Genomic DNA, 21,360 nt, shown 5'->3' on the forward strand with positions numbered 1-21,360 from the left:
AGTCAGAAACTCAAATCTATATAAAGGAAGAGAGCTGACAAATATTAACAAAAGTAAAATAACATCTCTTCTTTTTCTTATTCTTAATTGATCTGAAGGATATATGTTTAGTTGAAGCAATAATGTTAACAACATATTGTGTGATTATGGCATGAAGATAAGTGACATGACTGACAGAAATATCACAGGGGAATATAGGGAAAAGAATACTAAAGTTTCTTATAATTCATGCACATTATTATTGTGTTTTTACTGTGTACTAAGATTTTTTTAATGTATACTATAAACTCTAAGGCAACCACTCATTTATTACAGAAGTATGATTGATGATACCAAAGAGAGGAAAGATAATCATATACAGTGTACATTTAAAGCTAGAGAAGGTAGTAAAAGAGGGAAAGAAAAAGAAACAAAAGACAAACACAACTAATAAGAGGCAGTTTAGAACAAGGTAGATAATAGACCAACTATATTAATAATCACTTTAAATGTACATATCCTAAATAGTCAAAAGAGACAGATTGTCAAACTAGGTAAAAAGAGAAACAAAAATGAGCCAAATATATGCTTTCTACAGGTGAACCACTTTGAATATAAAGACTTGGGTTAAAAGTAAGAGAATCCAGAAAGATATGCAATGCTAACACTAATAATAGGAAAGCTGAAGCAGCTATTTTTATTTAAGACATAGAAGATTACATAACAAGAAAAATTGTCAATGATAAAAACATTGTCATATAATAGGTTATTTAGATTTTTTTAAAATAAAAATATAAAGACTTATACACCTAAAAAATTGTCAATATTCATGAAAAAAACTGAAAAAACCAATATTAGACAAATCTATTAGAGAAGCAGACATCAACAACACTCTGTCAGTAATTTATAGATGAAACAGACAGAAAATCAGTAGGGATGTAGATGGGATAGATGCACTGTTAGTCAATTTTACATAATTGATATTTACTACTTCATGTAATGACAGTGAATATATAAATTTTTCAGACTGACATGAATTGCTCATCAAGATGGGCTCAATTATGATTCTTAGAGCACTCCTTAAACATTTACAAGAATGAAAGCTATGCTTAGTATATTCTCAAACTACATAGATTTAAACTAGAAATCAATTTGTAAATTAAGACAGCTGAAATTTCCTGAGAAACATTTGAAAAGTAAACAGTACAATGCTAAATAATCTACAGGTCAAAGAGAAGACCTTAAGATACTTTTAAAAAAGTTTACGATAAACAGAAATTTATTGACTCATGCTTTTAGAGGCTGGGAAGTCCAAGATTGAAGGGACAACACCTGGCAAAGGCCTTATTGAAACGTAATCCCACTGTGGAAGAGCAAGGATGCGGTGAGAAAGAAAACAAGAGAAGAGCTGAACTCATTCTTTTATAAAGAATCTGCTCCCACAATAATGGCATTAATCCATTTATGAGGTCTCATCACATTTCAAAATGACTAATACTGTTATAGTAGCAATTAGATTTTCTACACATGCTTTTTGGGGTACACATTCAAATTATAACACACATACTGAAGAAAAAGTAGTCTACTGACTGGTTTACCAGTGTTACCAAATGTGTAAAATTATTTGTAACCGTGAATCAAAGTATAATGATTTTAGAAAATGTTTCTGTATTTATTCTAGGAAAAAAGAGAGAGAGACAGACAGACAAATAAAAGAAAAAATGCATCTTGAAAGATTAGGACAACAAAGTTTTTGTGTGTGTTTTCCTTTATTTGAGAAAACTCCCCAGACCTGATAATTTCTTTTATTAAAGAAGGAAGAGCTACAAAGCATATGCTTTGGATGAACTATGTCAACTTCAAATGCAGCATTTGCCCATGATGCCACAAAGCTTATTTGTAAAGTAAATGAGGGGCCTCTCTTGTCACCAAATATTCATCATCTTTTTTGCCAATTGTAATTAATTCCTCATGGATGATTTTCCCTATCTCAATGGTTCAAAACGAAGGGCATTCTTTTCTTTTTTTCTTTTTAAATATCAATGAATACTTGCCAATGAAGTGACAGGTTTATAAGCTCTTTGTTTATTAATGAAGAATATATTGATCTCTTAAAAAGTTTAATTGGCACAGGACCTTGAATTAATAATTTTCATTTCAGTATTGTTCTTCATTTTAACACATTTAAAAACCTGGTATGAACTGCTTTCTCCTGTCTACTCACTGTGAAGATCACTTCTTGGGAGATTACCAAAACAACTAAAATGTTTTTCATGCAAATTGACTAAGGGAGTAATAACCACGTTTGTTCTATATTCAAAGAGTAAGAGTATGATTATATAAATTTCAGTAACTAAGATTATGAATCCAGCTAGCTCACCAGTGGACTTGATTAAAGTGATTCTTATGGATTGAATAGTATTTTATTTGGCAAGTGAGACAAAACAATAGATGAGTCAACTAAAATGTACTTCCTGACACTACTACTTCTTAATCAAACGTAATCGTTTGCAGAGTCATTATTCTGCAAGTGATATATTCCATGTAAGTTAATATTTAAACACAAAAATATTTCAATTGTCAAAATTTTTGACGTTTTAAAAAATAGTGTATTATGTTGACAGAGTACATAAAAGTTCTAGAAAAATTAAAGAACAGGGTACCACCAAGGACAAAAATATAATTAAAATTAAAATATAAATATAATTAAAATTGAAATTCTATTCTCCCCATATGTAACATATTTGTCTAACAGTTTCAGACATTTGATTGAATTAGGAGATGAAGTAGGAAGTAAAATTTAGCTATTTAATAAATATATGTATTAGGTATATGTCTTGGTAACAAATGAGTCTCTTTGGAATTCCTTAGCAATTGACATATTTTAATAAGTCTTAATAACAGTTATTGTAAAATCAGTTTTCTCTAATTTTTTTAATCCCTTAAAATGTATACTGTTGTGGGAAGTCAGGGACCCCAAACGGAGGGACAGGCTGAAGCCATGGCAGAAGAACGTGGATTGTGAAAATTTCATGGACATTTATTAGTTCCCCAAATTAATACTTTTATAATTTCTTATGCCTGTCTTTACTGCAATCTCTAAACATAAATCGTAAAGATTTCATGGACACTTATCACTTCCCCAACCAATACCCTTGTGATTTCCTATGCCTGTCTTTACTTTAATCTCTTAATCCTGTCAGCTGAGGAGGATGTATATCGCCTCAGGACTCTGTAATAATTGCATTACCTGCACAAATTGTACAGCATGTGTGTTTAAGCAATATGAAATCTAGGCACCTTGAAAAAGAACAGGATAACAGCAATTGTTCAGGGAATAAGAGAGATAACCTTAAACTCTGACCGCCGGTGAGCTGGGTGGAACAGAGCCATGTTTTTCTTCTTTCAAAAGCAAATGGGAGAAATATCGCTGAATTATTTTTCTCAGCAAGGAACATCCCTGGGAAAGAGAATATGAGCCTGGAGGTTTAGGCTTATAAACGGCCCCCCCAGGTGTGTCCGTGGCTTATGGTCGACACTGCAGGGGTGAAATAGACCACAGTCTCCCATAGCGTTCCCAGGCTTATTAGGAAGAGGAAATTCCCGCCTAATAAATTTTGGTCAGACGGGTTGATCTCAAAACACTGTCTCCTGATAAGATGTTATCAATGACAATGGTGCCTGAAACTTCATTAGCAATTTTAATTTTGCCCCGGTCCTGTAGTTCTGTGATCTCGCCCTGCCTCCACTTGCCTTGTGATATTCTATTACCTTGTAAAGTACTTGATGTCTGTGACCCACACCTATTCGCACACTCCCTCACCTTTGGAAAATCCCTAATAAAAACTTGCTGGTTTTTGTGGCTTGTGGGGCATCACGGAACCTACTGACATGTGATGTCTCCCCCGGATGCCCAGCTTTAAAATTTCTCTCTTTTGTACTCTGTCCCTTTATTTCTCAAGCTGGCCAATGCTTAAGGAAAATAGAAAAGAACCTATGTGAATACAGGGGCAGATTCCCTGATAGTATACCCTTAATTAATCTAATTTCTCTCCAGTTCACATGTCCTATAAAAGAGATGTCTGATTGTGCAGGAATAACACCTTCATAACTGCATAAACTTCATATCTCATCGTTAAAAATAATTTTATTTCTTCATAGAATATTTTGAGATAAAGGGAAAAAAACAATCATCTACAGTCTTACAACATGGAAACAATTACTATTAACATTTTGATATATTGCTTTTCAGATATTTTCCTAGGCATTGTTGTTTTGTAATCTTGTTTGCATTACAGAAAATATTATACAGAAATTAAGATTATGAGCTCAGGTTCAGAGAGAGGAGATTTAAACACAAACACAACCCCTCTTGTAGCTGAGTCTGTCCAAACTTCCTCCTCATATATATGTGAGACAGAGAGAGAGCTAGAAGTATAAAGATTTTGTCAGGGGTATGTATTTTTGAAAATATTTACTATGCGTTATCAAACTAATTAAGTAATTTCCTTCACCACCAGTTGCGGGTGAGTGACCGACTTTCTTCAGAATCTTATGCAGGTTAACGTCTTCATACTTTATTTGCATTTTAGTTGCATTGTGAAGCTATTCTTTAATACTAGATATGTATGACTTATAAAGTATTGGTTACCAGTTGTTTCATATGTGACAGATATCTCAAATAGTAGTATATATTTTCATACTGCTTAATTAGTCTTAGACAGAATTGTATAGTTTTGCATGGTCAAATGTATCCTTCTTCCCTTTAAGACATTTTTGTCTTTTTGGCGAATTCAAATTTTTCCACAATATTGGCCAGCATGGTGGTGCATGCCACCTGTAATCCCAGCTGCTGGGGAAGCTGAGTTGGGAGAATCCCTTGAACCCAGAAGGCAGAGATTGCAGTGAGCTGAGGTCGTGCAACTGCACTCCAGCTTTGCAACAATGAGACATTGTCTAAAAACAAAAACAAAAACAAAAAAAGTCACCAATTTGAGGTTATAATTTTGTCTGCTATATTTTCTACTGGTGTTTTCAAATTTTCCTTTCCTTGTTGTGGTGTCCTATTTATCTGCAGGTTATTTTCATGGTATAAGGTGCATATCTAATTTGTATTTTTTACATAAAAGCAATATTTTTCGTGCCCATTAGAGAGTACTTTCTTTACTTGTTTGTTAATTACTGTAATTGTATAATTCATTATAATTAGCAATAAAGATCTTCATTATCTTCAATCTTTCTCAGAATTTATTCTTCCAGATAAATTTTCAAGTGTCTTAGAAAATCCTACTCAGATTTTGACTGAAATATAATGGAATTGACAACTCTATTTGTAGAAGTAATATCTGTCTCCAAATAATAAGTCTTATTTTCTGTCTCTGTCAAGCTGAATAATGGCTCCCAAATACACCCAAATGCCAATCCCTGCAGCCAGTGAGTATTACCTTATCTGGCAAAAGAGACTTTACTGATATGATTAAGTCTGATATTGAAGGGGATATTATCTTGGATTACCCAGGCACAATGATCCTCATAAGAGGATGTAGGAGGAAAAGGTACTGTGAGGAAGAGCAGACATTGTAGTGATGTGGTTTAAAGATGGAAGAAGAGGCCACAAATCAAGGAATACAGGTGGCTACCAGAAGAGGAAAACATAAGGAAACAGATTCTCCCCTCAGAGTCTATAGAAGGAGCTTGTCTTTTTGGAGTGATTTTAGACTTCTGATCTCCAGAACTGTAAGATAATGTATTTGTGTTAGTTCGACTAACCAAGTTTGGGATTAATTTATTTTAACAATAATAAGAAACTGATACATTATCCTACAGTAATACTGGTGCTCTCTTTTCATTAGCTTTTGTTTGCCTTAGCTATTGAGTAGTTTTAAGTATTGGTTTATTTTATATATGTCAAGTAAACAGCTAAAGTTGAATTTAAAATTACCGATTGGAGGTGAATACAGTCCTTTTCAATGTATTGCAATTACTGATATTGCTTATTGATTTCTATTAGCATAGTTTGAGTATGTTTCTGTTTAAAAGTTCTGGTGTGCATGTTTGTTTGCCCTACACCTTCATTTGCATTGTAGTGATAAGATTTTCATCATTCCTATCTGTTGTCCTCTGCTTGTTTGAAAACTGTATATTGAACATGTTGTTTTTGTAAATACTCATACATTTTTAACATACAAAAATATATTTACTCACAAGCTCTATAGTTATTTATAACTCTTTCCTCCTTTCAGTGAAAAACTCAGTACAATTTAACTACACACCCCACAAGCCCTGCCTAGTTATAGCCTATTGCTTTTTCATGAACACTGTTTTCTGCATACCTCTCCTTCTTTTTGGGTTTAATTTTATTTTACTGAAAAACTTTTTTTAGTAGTTGACTTGCCATGGGTATATGTGCTGTAAATTGTCTTCACTTTTGATTGTCTGAAAATACAAGTTTACCCTTAATCTTGTCTATTCTTTAGCTGGATATAGAATTCTAGGTTGACAGTCATCTCACAATTACTAACCAAAGTGAAGACTTCTCACGGTTGCATGTTATTCTATGACATCTTGTTAGGGTCTTCTTTTACACAGTTTTTAATTTTTTTTCTCTTTTCAATATTCAGCTGTTTCCCTAGAAAATTAGTGTTTGTCTTTATTTTGATTTATTCTAATAGGCCCTCATTGAGTTTTTAGTCTTTCTTTAGTTCTGGAAAAGTCTTACTTATTGTCCCCTCAAACTTTGCTCCAAAATGCCCTTCAATCTTGACTTCTGGAATGATTTTATTGGCAGCAAACTATCTATTATTTTGTCTCTTTAGCTATTTGTGCAGTATTCTGAATAAAATAATCAACACTATCTTCCATTTAAAAAAATTTTTTTTCTGACTGAGTCATTTCTAGAATTTATCCCAAAGACTGTGATATCATTTTTAATATTCAGCAATTATAATTTTTACTTTGAACCTAATTGTTTCTTTTCTATAAATATGCTTTTGATTTATGTCTACTATTTTTATTTCACATTTTATCAATTTTATTTATGCTATATTTTATTATCATTTTAAGGAAACAAAACAACTTATTTTAATATATTCTTGAGTTCTCTATCATTTACACATATTTTGAAGCAAGTAATAACTGAGTCTTAGTCATCTTCTTCAAGCACAATTTAGTTGTATATTCATCTTGAATGTGAGAGTTCCCTTTCTCTCTTTCTTGCTCTCCATTTCTGTGTTAATGTTTTAACTATGGCCAACCACAACCTCATGCCAAGTTTTGTACATTCATTAATGCGAGTGAGATTTTCTGGTCTCAGATCACATATAATAATGTCAAAGTCCTTTTCCTAAACTACTGAAAACCTTAGCACAAGTCCTATTTTGTAGCTTCCTCCTTCTCCTTCTTCCATATCACTGACAGTTTTACAAAAGTGGCAGCTCCAGGAAGCTGTCAAAATTTGCCTCCACATTTTGAGGGGATAAAAGAAATTTCCTTAGATCCTGATATTAAATTATGAGCCTCGCTAAGCCCTCAGAGACCTAATGGGAGATTTGACCCTGGTTACCATTCTGGAATAAAACTCCTCCAAAGTTTTTGCTGAAAATTATGAAACTCACAAGATTATTCCTATGTAACATTATAAGGGTAGTTTTGGTTGGTTTGTCTTTCACTTTTGGACTACAGAGAAAGTTATAATCCATTGCGCATGGTTATCAATTTTATTATATTTTTAATATTTACTCACTGTTGCCACATATTATTTCAGAATTAAAGTATATACTTGTCATACTAACTTTATTAAAATGCAGTATATATGTCTGTACCCAACTGTTTTTTTTCAGTTTTGTGGTTATATTAAATTAGATTTCCTGATATTTAATTATTTAATTATAAGAGTATTCATTTTCTAATTTCTCTTGAAACTACTGCCAATTTTCTGCCTCAAATGTTTACCATTTCATTTTGTATTGCTGTTTCATTGCACTTTTTATTTTAACCTTAAAATAATCCAAAGGTCTCAAAAATATTTTAATACCATTTTTATTTGACATAGTCATAAAACCTGCTTTAATTCCTGAGATTTTAAAAACAAATCATGAGGGTAATATGTTTGTGTTTTATCCCATTCTCTAGAACTGTTGTGTTTATAAAACTCAACAAACAATTTATATTTTCTTTTGTCAGAATTAACACTGTATATTGAATTATATTTGAGTTGGAAAATGTGCAATAGAAAGAGCAGAACTCAAAATTCAGGGCTGAATGAGTCTTAGGTGTGATACAGATGACCTCAGCCTTCCTATATATTTCCGTATAAACCAACTGATAAATTAAGAAACCCAGAGCTCTCACATTTCTGTTTTTATAGGAACTGGGATTAGACACAGATATATAGATATTTTTAGGAAAAAGAAAGAAAGAAAGAAAAAATAAATAAGGGATATTATAAAAACCAAATTCATATTTCTCACATTATAAAAGTACCTATCCCAAACATATATGGAAAATTATTAGTTCATAGCAAATGAGAGGGGCAAGATACAGTATTATGAATTGGCTTGTTCTTGGTTAAGGGTTACTTCTTATTAGAATGTATTATTGACTTGGTTAATAAATAAAAACAAATTACATTTAGTGAGTCTGTTAACTTTGCAAATATAACAACCTAACTTGCTCTTTTTCACTATATTTACTAACTTTTTTTGGAAAAATGTCTTTAAAGCAAAAGCCTTCCTGAAATTTTTCCAAGACATGTAGTAATAAATAGCATAGGTGACTTAGAATCAAAGACATTTCACACTTCTTTTTTATGTATTCCATGATAATTGGTGAAACTTTGAATGTAATAATGAGCCTGACCATGTAGAAGCATGAAAGTGTCAATGTGTGCCTTAGTTCTACATAAAGAAATATACTAGGCACATGAGATGAGAAGAGGTACAATAGCAAAAATCTCATATTCATATGACACATGAAGGGTTGGTTCCACTGACTCAGGAAATTTGGATTCTGAGATTTATATGAGACCACCTGTTAGCAGCAAGGTGCTCTTTATAAGGGCATGCCTGCTTTTAGATCTCAGGATACAAATAATTTTTAAATAATGCACGTAGAATTAGAGAGTCCAAAAATCAACTTTGAGGAATTTTGTTTTTTTTCTTCCCTTTACAATAGAAGATATGTGGCTTAACAAAAACAATTATGATAATATAATTAACAGAAAGACAACAACAGAGAAAAGGTCTGGATATGAGTTCCTTTAATGCAAGTAAAAGCAAGGTGATTTGTGGGTGTAGGTAAAGGTAAAATGTTTTCTAAAACTCCTACCAACTAAGGACAAACTTCATTAGTATTGAAATCCCAGGAAAGCACCCAGCTATGAATAATAGTCCTATATTTTTCAAAGGGTAAACTTTACCATTCTGCTGTGATAGCAAGATGTTTACACCACTTTTATTTCTTCTAACACCCTTGGGGACTCTGGCTACCTGCCTGCTTGCCCACCAGTTGCAAATATTTCCAGAATATTCTTGAAGGAGTACTGTGATATGAGTAAATCACTCATTTGTACCATTTTTTAAGAGTCTCAGTTTTCTGGACTGCCTGAATTACATTTCTGTAGACAGGATTTCCATCAGTGAAGAAGCTATATTTTTGAAATCAGGTAAGTCTAGCACAAACCGGGTACAAAACAAGCATATGAGTCAGCAATTGAATTTTTAAGAAAAAGAAAATAAGTTTTAGATATCACTAAGTCAAAATATGTAATGTTTTCTCTTTTTTTGGATCTTTTGGATCACTTTTCTTCTTGAATTTCATTTTTTATGATAAAATCAGGTAGGAAAATATCTTTATCTTTGGAGATTACCTTGTTCTTTGAGGTGGTAGATTAAAAGAGTATATGAAAGAGTCTGCCGAGACCAGCTCGGTTGGGGAGACCCTAACCCAGAGGCACTAGAGGAATTAAAGACACACACACAGAAATATAGAGGTGTGAAGTGGGAAATCAGGGGTCTCACATCCTTCAGAGCTGAGAGCCTCAGACAGAGATTTACTCACGTATTTATTAACAGCAAGCCAGTCATTAGCATTGTTTTTACAGACACTAAATTAACTAAAAGTATCCCTTATGGGAAATGAAGGGATGGGCCAAATTAAAGGGATAGGTTGGGCTAGTTAACTGCAGCAGGAGCTGTCCTTAAGGCAGAGATCGCTCATGGTATTGCTTGTGGCTTAAGAATGCCTTTAAGGAGATTTTGGGCTGAGACAGTGGGGTTTTCTAGATATACAATCATGTCGTCTGCAAACAGGGACAATTTGACTTCCTCTTTTCCTAATTGAATACCCTTTATTTCCTTCTCCTGCCTAATTGCCCTGGCCAGAACTTCCAACACTATGTTGAATAGGAGTAGTGAGAGAGGGCATCCCTGTCTTGTGCCAGTTTTCAAAGGGAATGCTTCCAGTTTTTGCCCATTCAGTATGATATTGGCTGTGGGTTTGTCATAGATAGCTCTTATTATTTTGAAATACGTCCCATCAATACCTAATTTATTGAGAGTTTTTAGCATGAAGGGTTGTTGAATTTTGTCAAAGGCTTTTTCTGCATCTATTGAGATAATCATGTGGTTTTTGTCTTTGGCTCTGTTTATATGCTGGATTACATTTATTGATTTGCGTATATTGAACCAGCCTTGCATCCCAGGGATGAAGCCCACTTGATCATGGTGGATAAGCTTTTTGATGTGCTGCTGGATTCGTTTTGCCAGTATTTTATTGAGGATTTTTGCATCAATATTCATCAAGGATATTGGTCTAAAATTCTCTTTTTTGGTTGTGTCTCTGCCCGGCTTTGGTATCAGGATGATGCTGGCCTCATAAAATGAGTTAGGGAGGATTCCCTCTTTTTCTATTGATTGGAATAGTTTCAGAAGGAATGGTACCAGTTCCTCCTTGTACCTCTGGTAGAATTCAGCTGTGAATCCATCTGGTCCTGGACTCTTTTTGGTTGCATTACCATTCAGGACATAGGCATGGGCAAGGACTTCATGTCTAAAACACCAAAAGCAATGGCAACAAAAGACAAAATTGACAAATGGGATCTAATTAAACTAAAGAGCTTCTGCACAGCAAAAGAAACTACCATCAGAGTGAACCGGCAACCTAAAAAATGGGAGAAAATTTTCGCAACCTACTCATCTGACAAAGGGCTAATATCCAGAATCTACAATGAACTCAAACAAATTTACAAGAAAAAATCAAACAACCCCATCAAAAAGTGGGCAAAGGACATGAACAGACACTTCTCAAAAGAAGACATTTATGCAGCCAAAAAACACATGAAAAAATGCTCATCATCACTGGCCATCAGAGAAATGCAAATCAAAACCACAATGAGATACCACCTCACACCAGTTAGAATGGCAATCATTAAAAAGTCAGGAAACAACAGGTGCTGGAGAGGATGTGGAGAAATAGGAACACTTTTACCCTGTTGGTGGGGCTGTAAACTAGTTCAACCATTGTGGAAGTCAGTGTGGCGATTCCTCAGGGATCTAGAACTAGAAATACCATTTGACCCAGCAATCCCATTACTAGGTATATAACCAAAGGACTATAAATCATGCTGCTCTAAAGACACATGCACATGTATGTTTATTACGGCATTATTCACAATAGCAGACTTGGAACCAACCCAAATGTCCAACAATGATAGACTGGATTAAGAAAATGTGGCACATATACACCATGGAATACTATGCAGCCATAAAAAATGATGAGTTCATGTCCTTTGTAGGGACATGGATGAAATTGGAAATCATCATTCTCAGTAAACTATTGCAAGAACAAAAAACCAAACACCACATATTCTCACTCATAGGTGGGAATTGAACAATGAGATCACATGGACACAGAAAGGGGAATATCACACTCTGGGGACTGTGGTGGGGTGGGGGGAGGGGGGAGGGATAGCATTGGGAGATATACCTAATGCTAGATGACGAGTTAGTGGGTGCAGCACACCAGCATGGCACATGTATACATATGTAACTAACCTGCACATTGTGCACATGTACCCTAAAACTTAAAGTATAATAAAAAAAAAAAAAAAGAATGCCTTTAAGCGGTTTTCCGCCCTGGGCGGGCCAGGTGTTCCCTGCCCTCATTGCAGTAAACCCGCAACCTTCCAGCTTGGGTGTATGGCCGTCATGAACGTGTCACAGTGCTGCAGAGATTTTGTTTATGGCCAGTTTTGAGGCCAGTTTATGACCAGATTCTGGGGGGCTTCTTCCCAACAAAAGTCTGATCAGACTCTTTTCTTACCTAAGTTTTTCATATTAAAGGGCACAAATTGAGTTTACAAGTTCACATTTCAATCCCATTGCTCAGTGTATAACAGATTAGATCTGGGGGACAACAACTTAGATATCAACAGGTAATATGTTTTCTTGCACTGCCATTTTTTTCCTTCAGTATATATGGCAGTGAGTGACTAATTCAAGATTCAGTTCCTAGACCCTCTTCCTCCTATTTTTTCTCAAGCTTTACTGCAATAAATGGTACTATAATGATTTAAAAGAGTTAATATAGATTCCAAGTGTGTATTTTGCTCTTATCTATACTTTCACTGAGAAAACTGTCTAAGTTTTAATATTATTATTACTTAGGAACATTTTTTAGTAAACAAGTTGCACTAAAATGTTTATAACATAGTTCCAGACAATAACCTTGCTTCTTTTATATATCATTTTAGTTTATATAATAAGCATCAACTGAATGTCTATTTTGTATATATTTATAGAGATATTTAATTTATAGGGCTCAAGGAAAGTAACTGTGTCAGGCAATCTTCCAGAAAACTTAAAAATTAATTTACTTAATTATCATAACAACCTATAAGACAAAATTTATTATAAAGATGCTAAAAATGAGGTACAGAGAGACTAATTAACTCTCTCAAGGTAACAGAGCTAGTATGATAAGGAATTGGGAATTTGAACACAGGCAGTCTGAATCTAAAGTACTTGTTTTTCACTACTAGCCAGTGGAAGATGACTATTACACAGTTTTTATTTTTTCTGAGGAATATCATAATCTATTGAAGACACAGTTTAGGTAGGAGATTGTTTTTTAATGATAAATGTTTTGGTTTATCACTATGTTCACAATAACACTATTCATCATCTGTCTACCCATCCAAGAATCACAGTTTCTCAGAGCTCAATATTATCCTGGATAAATCTATAAAACCAAGTTTTTCAAAAGAGGAGTTCTGGGAGTGAATCTTCTTACTAGCTTCCATGTTTACTATTTACTTATCTTTTATAAACATAAATTCTTCAGGCTGCAGACTAAGTATCTCATTTGCTTTCAAAGGTTATAGAGCATATACATTAAAATAAATATTATTAAGTATTGATAGTTATCCTTATTTTCTGTCAATATTATCATATATCCTATTCTGCAATTGCATATTCATTCAATCTCCTATCTCATGAATCTCTTCTTAAATTAATTTTGAAGTTCAAATTAGGATAAAATTATTTAGTCCAGTTGTACTTAGTTAAGAATAAAAGAGAAAAATTACCCATAGTTTTCTGCATATTATGAAACTGTTTAGTGACCCCAATATTTGATTACTTTTAAGGCAACAAAAGGTTTTGTTATGCTTATTTGTACCATGGTAATTAGATACATTTGCAAATACTTGTACCTCTTGTAACTAGGGCTGATTGTTTTTAATTTCATAGATATGCAATCTGAGAGATTATTCTTCCAAAATTATACTTTCATCTGTACATCATTTGAACCACAGCTTTTGGAATTTTTAGCAAGCATGATTCTTTGTAACTAGCATTTTTTAATATAAGGCTTATTACAAAAAATATATAACAGTGAAGCCTTCAAAAAATGCATTAATAGTCTTATGATTTGATTTCTTCACAAAAAATAGATACTTGTGAATACTACACAAAATATAAGTTATAAAATTAGATATACTGAATTGATTAAGATAAAATCCACATTTTAGGTACAGAAATATTCTCCATTTTAACAAACTATAATTTTGCATTATAACTACTATAAGTCAACAGTGACTTTTTAGTATTTTATAAATCACAAAAATAGTATTAGCTTTGTAGTTTGTACAACTTGTTTAATTTTTCTAAATAAATTAAGATACTGTAGTACATGACCCTTAAGCTAATTATGTTTCATTTTATTAATGCCAATAAAGTAACAGGCCAATTGTATTTATTATAGTCTATGTCTATAATATCATTATACATGCATAAAATGTAACATCCTAAACCAGTTTTTAAATTTAAATTATTTTTAATAATACCAGCTTGTATGTAAACTATTCATACAGTTTGAGCAAATTAAGCATCATGCGGAATTTTGTGAGGTAATTTAAAACATCATCAAGCCACTCAATAATTCCACAATATGATCTTACCATATTTGAAACCAGGAAACAGAACTGAACTAAACTGAAATAGCAATGTTAAATATGATCTCTGAAATTACTTATCTTCAATATCCACTGAATGACATTTGATTTTTAAAATTTTCCTTCTGCTGACTATCACAATCTTCTAGAAAATATGTCTTTTGAGTTACTGCATACATTGCTGTTTTCTATCCTTCCTGATATTTCACTCGAAGCAAAACATAGGATTTAAAAAGTTTTGTCCACTTTCTCTATTTCAGCACTACTTTTGCTGTTGTGCCTTTGCAAATTCTGTTCTCTCCGAGTAAAATACTTTTTTCCTGTTTGACCTATGTCTTTCATACTGAGAAACATTATATTTACAGTTGCTGTGATGATTGTATGAATTAATATACAGAAAGTAATTAGAACAGTCCTGGAAATATATGAGACATATAAGTATCAAAGAAAATGAAAGAAAGAAAAAAATTAACTAATGTATCATTCTTTTTTGCTAGATGAGTTTGATGAACATTATTAGAGATATTATCTTACCACATGAAAATTGATAGACTTCCTCTCCATCTTCTCTGATAGACAGTGAGCTGGTAAAAAGCTGATACTATGTCTCATTCAGCTCCATATTATGAGTCCTTAATATTATGGCATCAGTGGCATTTGGAGTTCAGTGGCCTTCAAGTAGGATATAAAATTCAGTTGAAATATCTTAAATACTTTTCAACCAAATTGCTCAACTAAGATGTGCAATAGCAACAACAACAAAAGACAGGTTGAGAGAATAGTTAATACTTCCCAAAGGTATTATTGAACTTGATTCAATTTCATATCAAATTGGTTTTCTTCTGAATTGACCTATGATACACCAGAACACCTGGGATCCTGACTTATATATGTTATATATTATTGCTGAAAAGATCAGAAGATGTTAGCAAATTGGCCAATAAAGCATAGTTTGCTGACCCTAGATCAAATCAATAAAATTGTCTATACTAAAGGTTGAGAATTCACTGGAGTGTTAATTGACATATCTAATTCTCATTAAAGAAAATAAATGCTTAGTTTTCATTTGTCATGCAACATGGTAAAATAGAGTTTGGATTAAATCAATTTTTGATAAGTTTTTTTTCAAAATACATGAATAAGTGCTACTAAAATAAGAATTATGTTATCCTTTTGGACCCACCCGAGCCCAAGATCACCCCTGAAGATTCATGCTTCACCCCAGCCCACATTCAGGCTCCAGGAATGCCCTTGTAGAACCTAACAACAGACCAGCCCCTGTGGTTCCAAGCTCCAGGCCAACCACTATAGAACTAGTCTCTAAGTCCACTCCAGTGGTTGCTGGTGCCATTTTGGACACCATGGACCCAGACTTCAGGCCAAACTACCAAGGAGCTAGGAAGTACACAGTCACATGAGTACTCCAGAAGCACATCAACCCAGAATCTCTGAAAGCTATTGATGAAAGTCTTTCCCAATGAAAACTAATATCTAAGGACTGGAAGAGGTGACCACTTCCAATGTTCAGACACTAATCCAAGGCTACGAGGATCACCAAAGATCAGAGAAACATCATACCCCCAAAGGAACAAAAGAAATCACCAACAACTTACCCTAAATAAATGGAGATCTCCAAATTGCCTGACAAAAATTTCAAAAATTTCATCTTAAGGATGCCCAGTGAGTAACAAGAGAACACAAATAGACAAATAAACAATAACAGAGAAAGTGTCTTTTCCCCCTTTTGCTCACCACTTCTCTCTCATGCTGCCATGTGAAGAACATGTTTGCTTCCCCTTCTGCCATGATTCTGTAAGTTTCCTGAGGCCTCCCAAGCCATGTGGAACTCTGAGTCAATTAAACCACTTTCCTTTATAAATCGCCCAGTTTCAGGTATTTCTTCATAGCTGCATGAGAATGAACTAATACAATAAGGAAATGTTATGAAAGCCAAATAATTGGACAACCTAGAAGAAATGAATAAATTCCTGGAAACATGTGACCTACCAAAAAGGAATCAAGAAGAAACAGAAACCCTTAATAGACCAGCAACAAATGGAAATATTGAGTCAGTGATCAAAAATTTTCCAATAACACTAGAAAGCCCAGGCATAAACAGCTTCACATATCAGTCCTCCTAAATATGTTTTTAATTAATACCATTCATTCCTAAGCTGTTTCAAACAATAGAAGAGGGATCACTTAAAAACTCTTTTTATGATGCCAGCATAACCCTGAAAACATTTATAAACCATATATCTGGTAAATGGTTATTATACAAAATATATAGTTTGGCTACAACTCAATGGGAATAATAATAACAATAATAATAATAGCCCAAATTAAAAATATGCAAAGGTATAAATAGACATTTCTCTAAAGAAAACACAGATCTATGAAAAGGTGGTTGACACCACTAATCATCAGGGAAATACCAATAGAAAACATAAGATGTCACATCTGTTAGAATGGTTTTCATCATTAAAAATATATATTGCACATTTTGGCAAGATTATGAAAAAAAATCCCTTGTATACTGTTTAAAAAAAAACCTGCAAACAGAAATGTCATATGATCCATCAATCCCATTTCTGGGTACATACCCAGAGGAATAGAAATCAGTATATCAAAGACATATCTCAATTTCTAGGTTCATTTTAGCATAATTCACAATGGCAGGATATGGAAGCAATCCAAGTGTCCATCAATAAATGAATAAAGAAAACATGGTATATACATACAATGGATTACTATTCAGCTATAAAAAGAAATAACCCTGCCATTTACAAAAACATTGATGAACTTGGCAGACATTATGCTAAGTGAAATAATGCAGACACAGGAGAATAAATATTAAATGATGCTACTTATGCAATAAATATATAATAGCCAAATTCATAGAGGCACAGAGTAGAATGGTCATTGTCGGGGCTGGGACACAAGAAAGGGAGAAAGGAAAGTATTAGTCAAAAGGTGTAAAGTTCTGGGTATATAAGACAAGTTAGCACTAATGACCTACTGTACAGCATAGTCCTTATAGATAACAACACTCTATTGTATACCTAAAGATTTTCTAAGAGGGTAGCATTTATTTTATGTTCTAATACAAATAATAAATAAGAGATTAGCAGAAAATTTGGAGGTGATGGATTTATGGTACAGACTGCAGTGATTGTTTAACAGGTGTATACTTCTCTTCAAACTCATTAAATTGCATACATTATGCATGATATTTTATAAATACAATTTTTAAATGAAAAATAACATTGAGTTTTTTTTTTTAAATGTGGGATGAACATATTTGGAAAATTGAAATGCAAACAGTTTGTTAGCAATACCATTAATTTGTTAATTTATCTTATAATTATCAAAGTGGAGATACAGGATTCAATGTCTCCTAAATTTGATAAGAAAGCAGTGTTTCCAAAAACTATCTCAGGGAAGAACTATTTAAGGAAATGCATATTGAGGAACATTGAAAATTATGAACATCACTATCCCTTTCGGTTTATTTTCTACTTAATAAGAAATTAAAACAATATATATTTTTCAGAATATAGTGCCTTGGGGAAATGGCGATCATGGTGGATGGGAGGCAAGATTAGATTGCAGCTCCAGACAGAGCAGCATGCGGGGGCTAGCATTGTGAATTTTAGCTCCAGATTGACTGCAAGAACTAACCAGCAATCCCAAGAGGACCCACAAAAATTCTGAAGGAAGTGGACTGCTCCGGCAGGACACAGGAGATCCCGCCAAAATTGTGAGTACCCCAACTGCTGATGTGGGAAAGGGAAACCCTCCTCTCCCGAACACACATCACCACTGGAGAAGCTGAAGGTCTATTTGTGGGAGAAGTTTCCAACTTTACCTGGAGCTGAGTCAATTTGGAGAGCCGAGCAAAATTCAAAGGTAGAGGAAGCAGCAGAAAGGCCCAGGGAGCTCACTGGGTCCTCTAGCAGGCCATTTCTTCCTGGCACCACAGGGATCCAATGGGAGAGAATCAGGGGGTAAAATTACACAGGCAGATGGAAATCTCTAGCTGAACTTTGTAACAATTTGAATTGGGTGAGACACCTTCTGGCCAGAACTCACGGGAGGGTGCAAATCCGGTTTGCAGACTCCACAGGCAGAGGAAGAGCCAAGCCCTTTTCTTTTGCAGCTGGGAGGCAGGTAGCCTGGGGCAAGTTTTCAAGCCCATATCATCCTCCACCTGGAAACAGCCTAGAGGGTGTTGTGGGGGGTCACCGTGGGAATGAGACCAGCCCTTCTGTTTGCATGGGAGCTGAGTGAGGCTTGTGACTACCAGGTTTCCCCCACTTCCCTGACAACATGCATGACTCAGCAGAGGCAGCCATAATCCTACTAGGTACACAGTTCCAGTGACCTGGGAATCTCATCCCCATCCCCTACAGCAGCCACAGCAAGACCCACCCAAGGAGTCTGAGCTCAGACATGGCCTAACCCCGCCCCCACCTGACGGTCCTTCCCTACCCACCCAGGTAGTGGAAGACAAAGGTCATATAATCTTGGGGGTTCTAGGTCCCTGCCCACCTACCAGTTCCTCTCCATACTACCACAGTTGATGCTCTCTGAAAAGTGCCACCTCCCAGCAGGAGGCCAACCAGCACAAAAATAGAGCATTAAACCACAAAAGCTAAGGGCCCTCACGGAGTCCATTGCACCACCCCATCACCTCCACCAAAACAGGCACTGGTATCCACTGCTGAGAGATGGATAGATGGTTCACATCATGGGACTCTGTACAGACAACCCTCAGTACCAGCTCACAGCCGGGTAGACTTGCTGAGTGGCTAGACCCAAAAGAGAGACAATAATCACTATAGTTCGGCTCACAGGAAGCCATATGCATCGAAAAGGGGGAGAGTACTACATCAAGGGAACACCCTGTGGGACAAAAGGATCTGAACAACAGCCTTCAGCCCTAGCCTTCCCTCTGACAGAACCCACCCAAATGAGAAGGAACCAGAAAACCAAACCTGGTTATATGACAAAACAAAGCTCTTCAACAAGCCTAAAAAAAATCACACTAGTTCAAGAGCAATGGATTCCAACCAAGAAGAAATTCCTAATTTACCTGAAAAAGAATGCAGGAGGTTAGTTATTAAGCTAATCAGGGAGGAACCAGAGATAGATTAAGTCCAATGCAAGGAAATCCAAAAAATGATACCAGAAGTGAAGGGAGAAATATTCAAGGAAATAGATACCTTAAGGAAAAAACAATAAAAAATTCAGGAAACTTTGGACACACTTTTAGAAATGTGAAATATTCTTGTAAGTCTCATAAATGGAATTGAACAAGAAGAAAGAAATCAGAGCTCAAAGACAAGATCTTTGAATTAACCTAATCCAACAAAGACAAAGACAAAAGATTAAGAGAATATGAACAAAGCCTCCGAGAAGTCTGGGATTACGTTAAACAACCAAACCTAAGAATAAACGGTGTTCCTGAGGAAGAAAAGAATTCTAAAAGCTTGGAAAACGTATTTGGGGAAATAATAGAGAAAAACTTTCCCAGCATTGCTAGAGACCTAGACGTTTAAATACAACAAGCATAAACAATACCCAGGAAATTCATTGCAAAAAGATCTTCACTAAGGCACACTGTCACCAGATTATTCAGAGTTAAGATGAAGGAAAAAATCTTAAGAGCTGTGAGACAGAAGCACCAGGTAAAATGTAAAAGAAAACCTATCAGATTAACAGCAGATTTCTCAGTAGAAACCCTACAAGCTAGAAGGGATTGGGGCACTATCTTCAGCCTCCTCAAACAAAACAATTATCAGCCAAGAATTTTGTATCCAGCAAAACTAAGCATCATATATGAAGGGAAGAAACAGCTTTATTTTTTAGACAAACAAATGTTGAGAGAATTTGCCATTACCACGCCACCACTACCAGAACTGCTAAAAGGAGCTCTAAATCTTGAAACAAATTCTGGAAACACATCAAATCAGAACCTCTTTAAAGGAAAAATCATACAGAACCTATAAAAGAAAAATACAAGTTAAAAAGAAAAACAAACAAACAAACAAAAAAAACAAAAAACAAAAAACCAAAGTACAGAGGCAAAAAAGCGCATGATGAATGCAATCGTACCTCACATTTCAACACCTAACATTGAATATAAATGGCCTAAATACTCCCTGTAAAGGATACAGAACAGCGGAATGGATAAGAACTCACCAACCATCTACTGCCTTCAGGAGACTCACCTAACACATAATGACTCACATAAACTTAAAGTAAAGGGGTGGAAAAAGGCATTTCATGCAAATGGACATCAAAAGTGAGCAGCATTTTCCGATATTCTTATATTAGAAAAAACAAGCTTTAAAGCAACACCAGTTAAGAGAAACAAAGAGGGACATTATATAATGGTAAAAGGCCTTGAGCTTGTCCAACAGGAAAATATCACAATCCTAAACATATATCCACCTAACACTGGAGTTCCCAAATTTATTAAACAATCACTAATAGACCTAAGAAATGAGACACATAACAACACAATAATAGCAGGGGACTTCAATACTTCACTGACAGCAGTGGACAGGTAATCATGACAGCAACTCATTGAAGAAACAATAGATTTAAACTGTACCTTGGAACAAATGGACTTAGCGGATATATACAGAACACTCCATCCAACAACTGCAGAATACACATTCCATTCAACAGTGCATGGAACTTTTGCCAAGATAGATCATATGATAGACCATAAAACAAGCCTCAATAAATTTTAAAAAATTGAAATTATATCAAGCACTCTCACAGACCACAATGGAATAAAACTGGAAGTCAACTTCAAAAGGAACTCTCAAAACCATGCAAATACATGGAAATTAAATAACCTGCTCCTGAATAAGCACTGGGTCAAAAATGAAATCAAGACAGATATTCAAAAATTATCTGAG

The sequence above is a fragment of the Homo sapiens genome, chromosome 5 (assembly GCF_000001405.40).
Source record: "Homo sapiens chromosome 5, GRCh38.p14 Primary Assembly".
Classification (NCBI taxonomy): domain Eukaryota; kingdom Metazoa; phylum Chordata; class Mammalia; order Primates; family Hominidae; genus Homo; species Homo sapiens.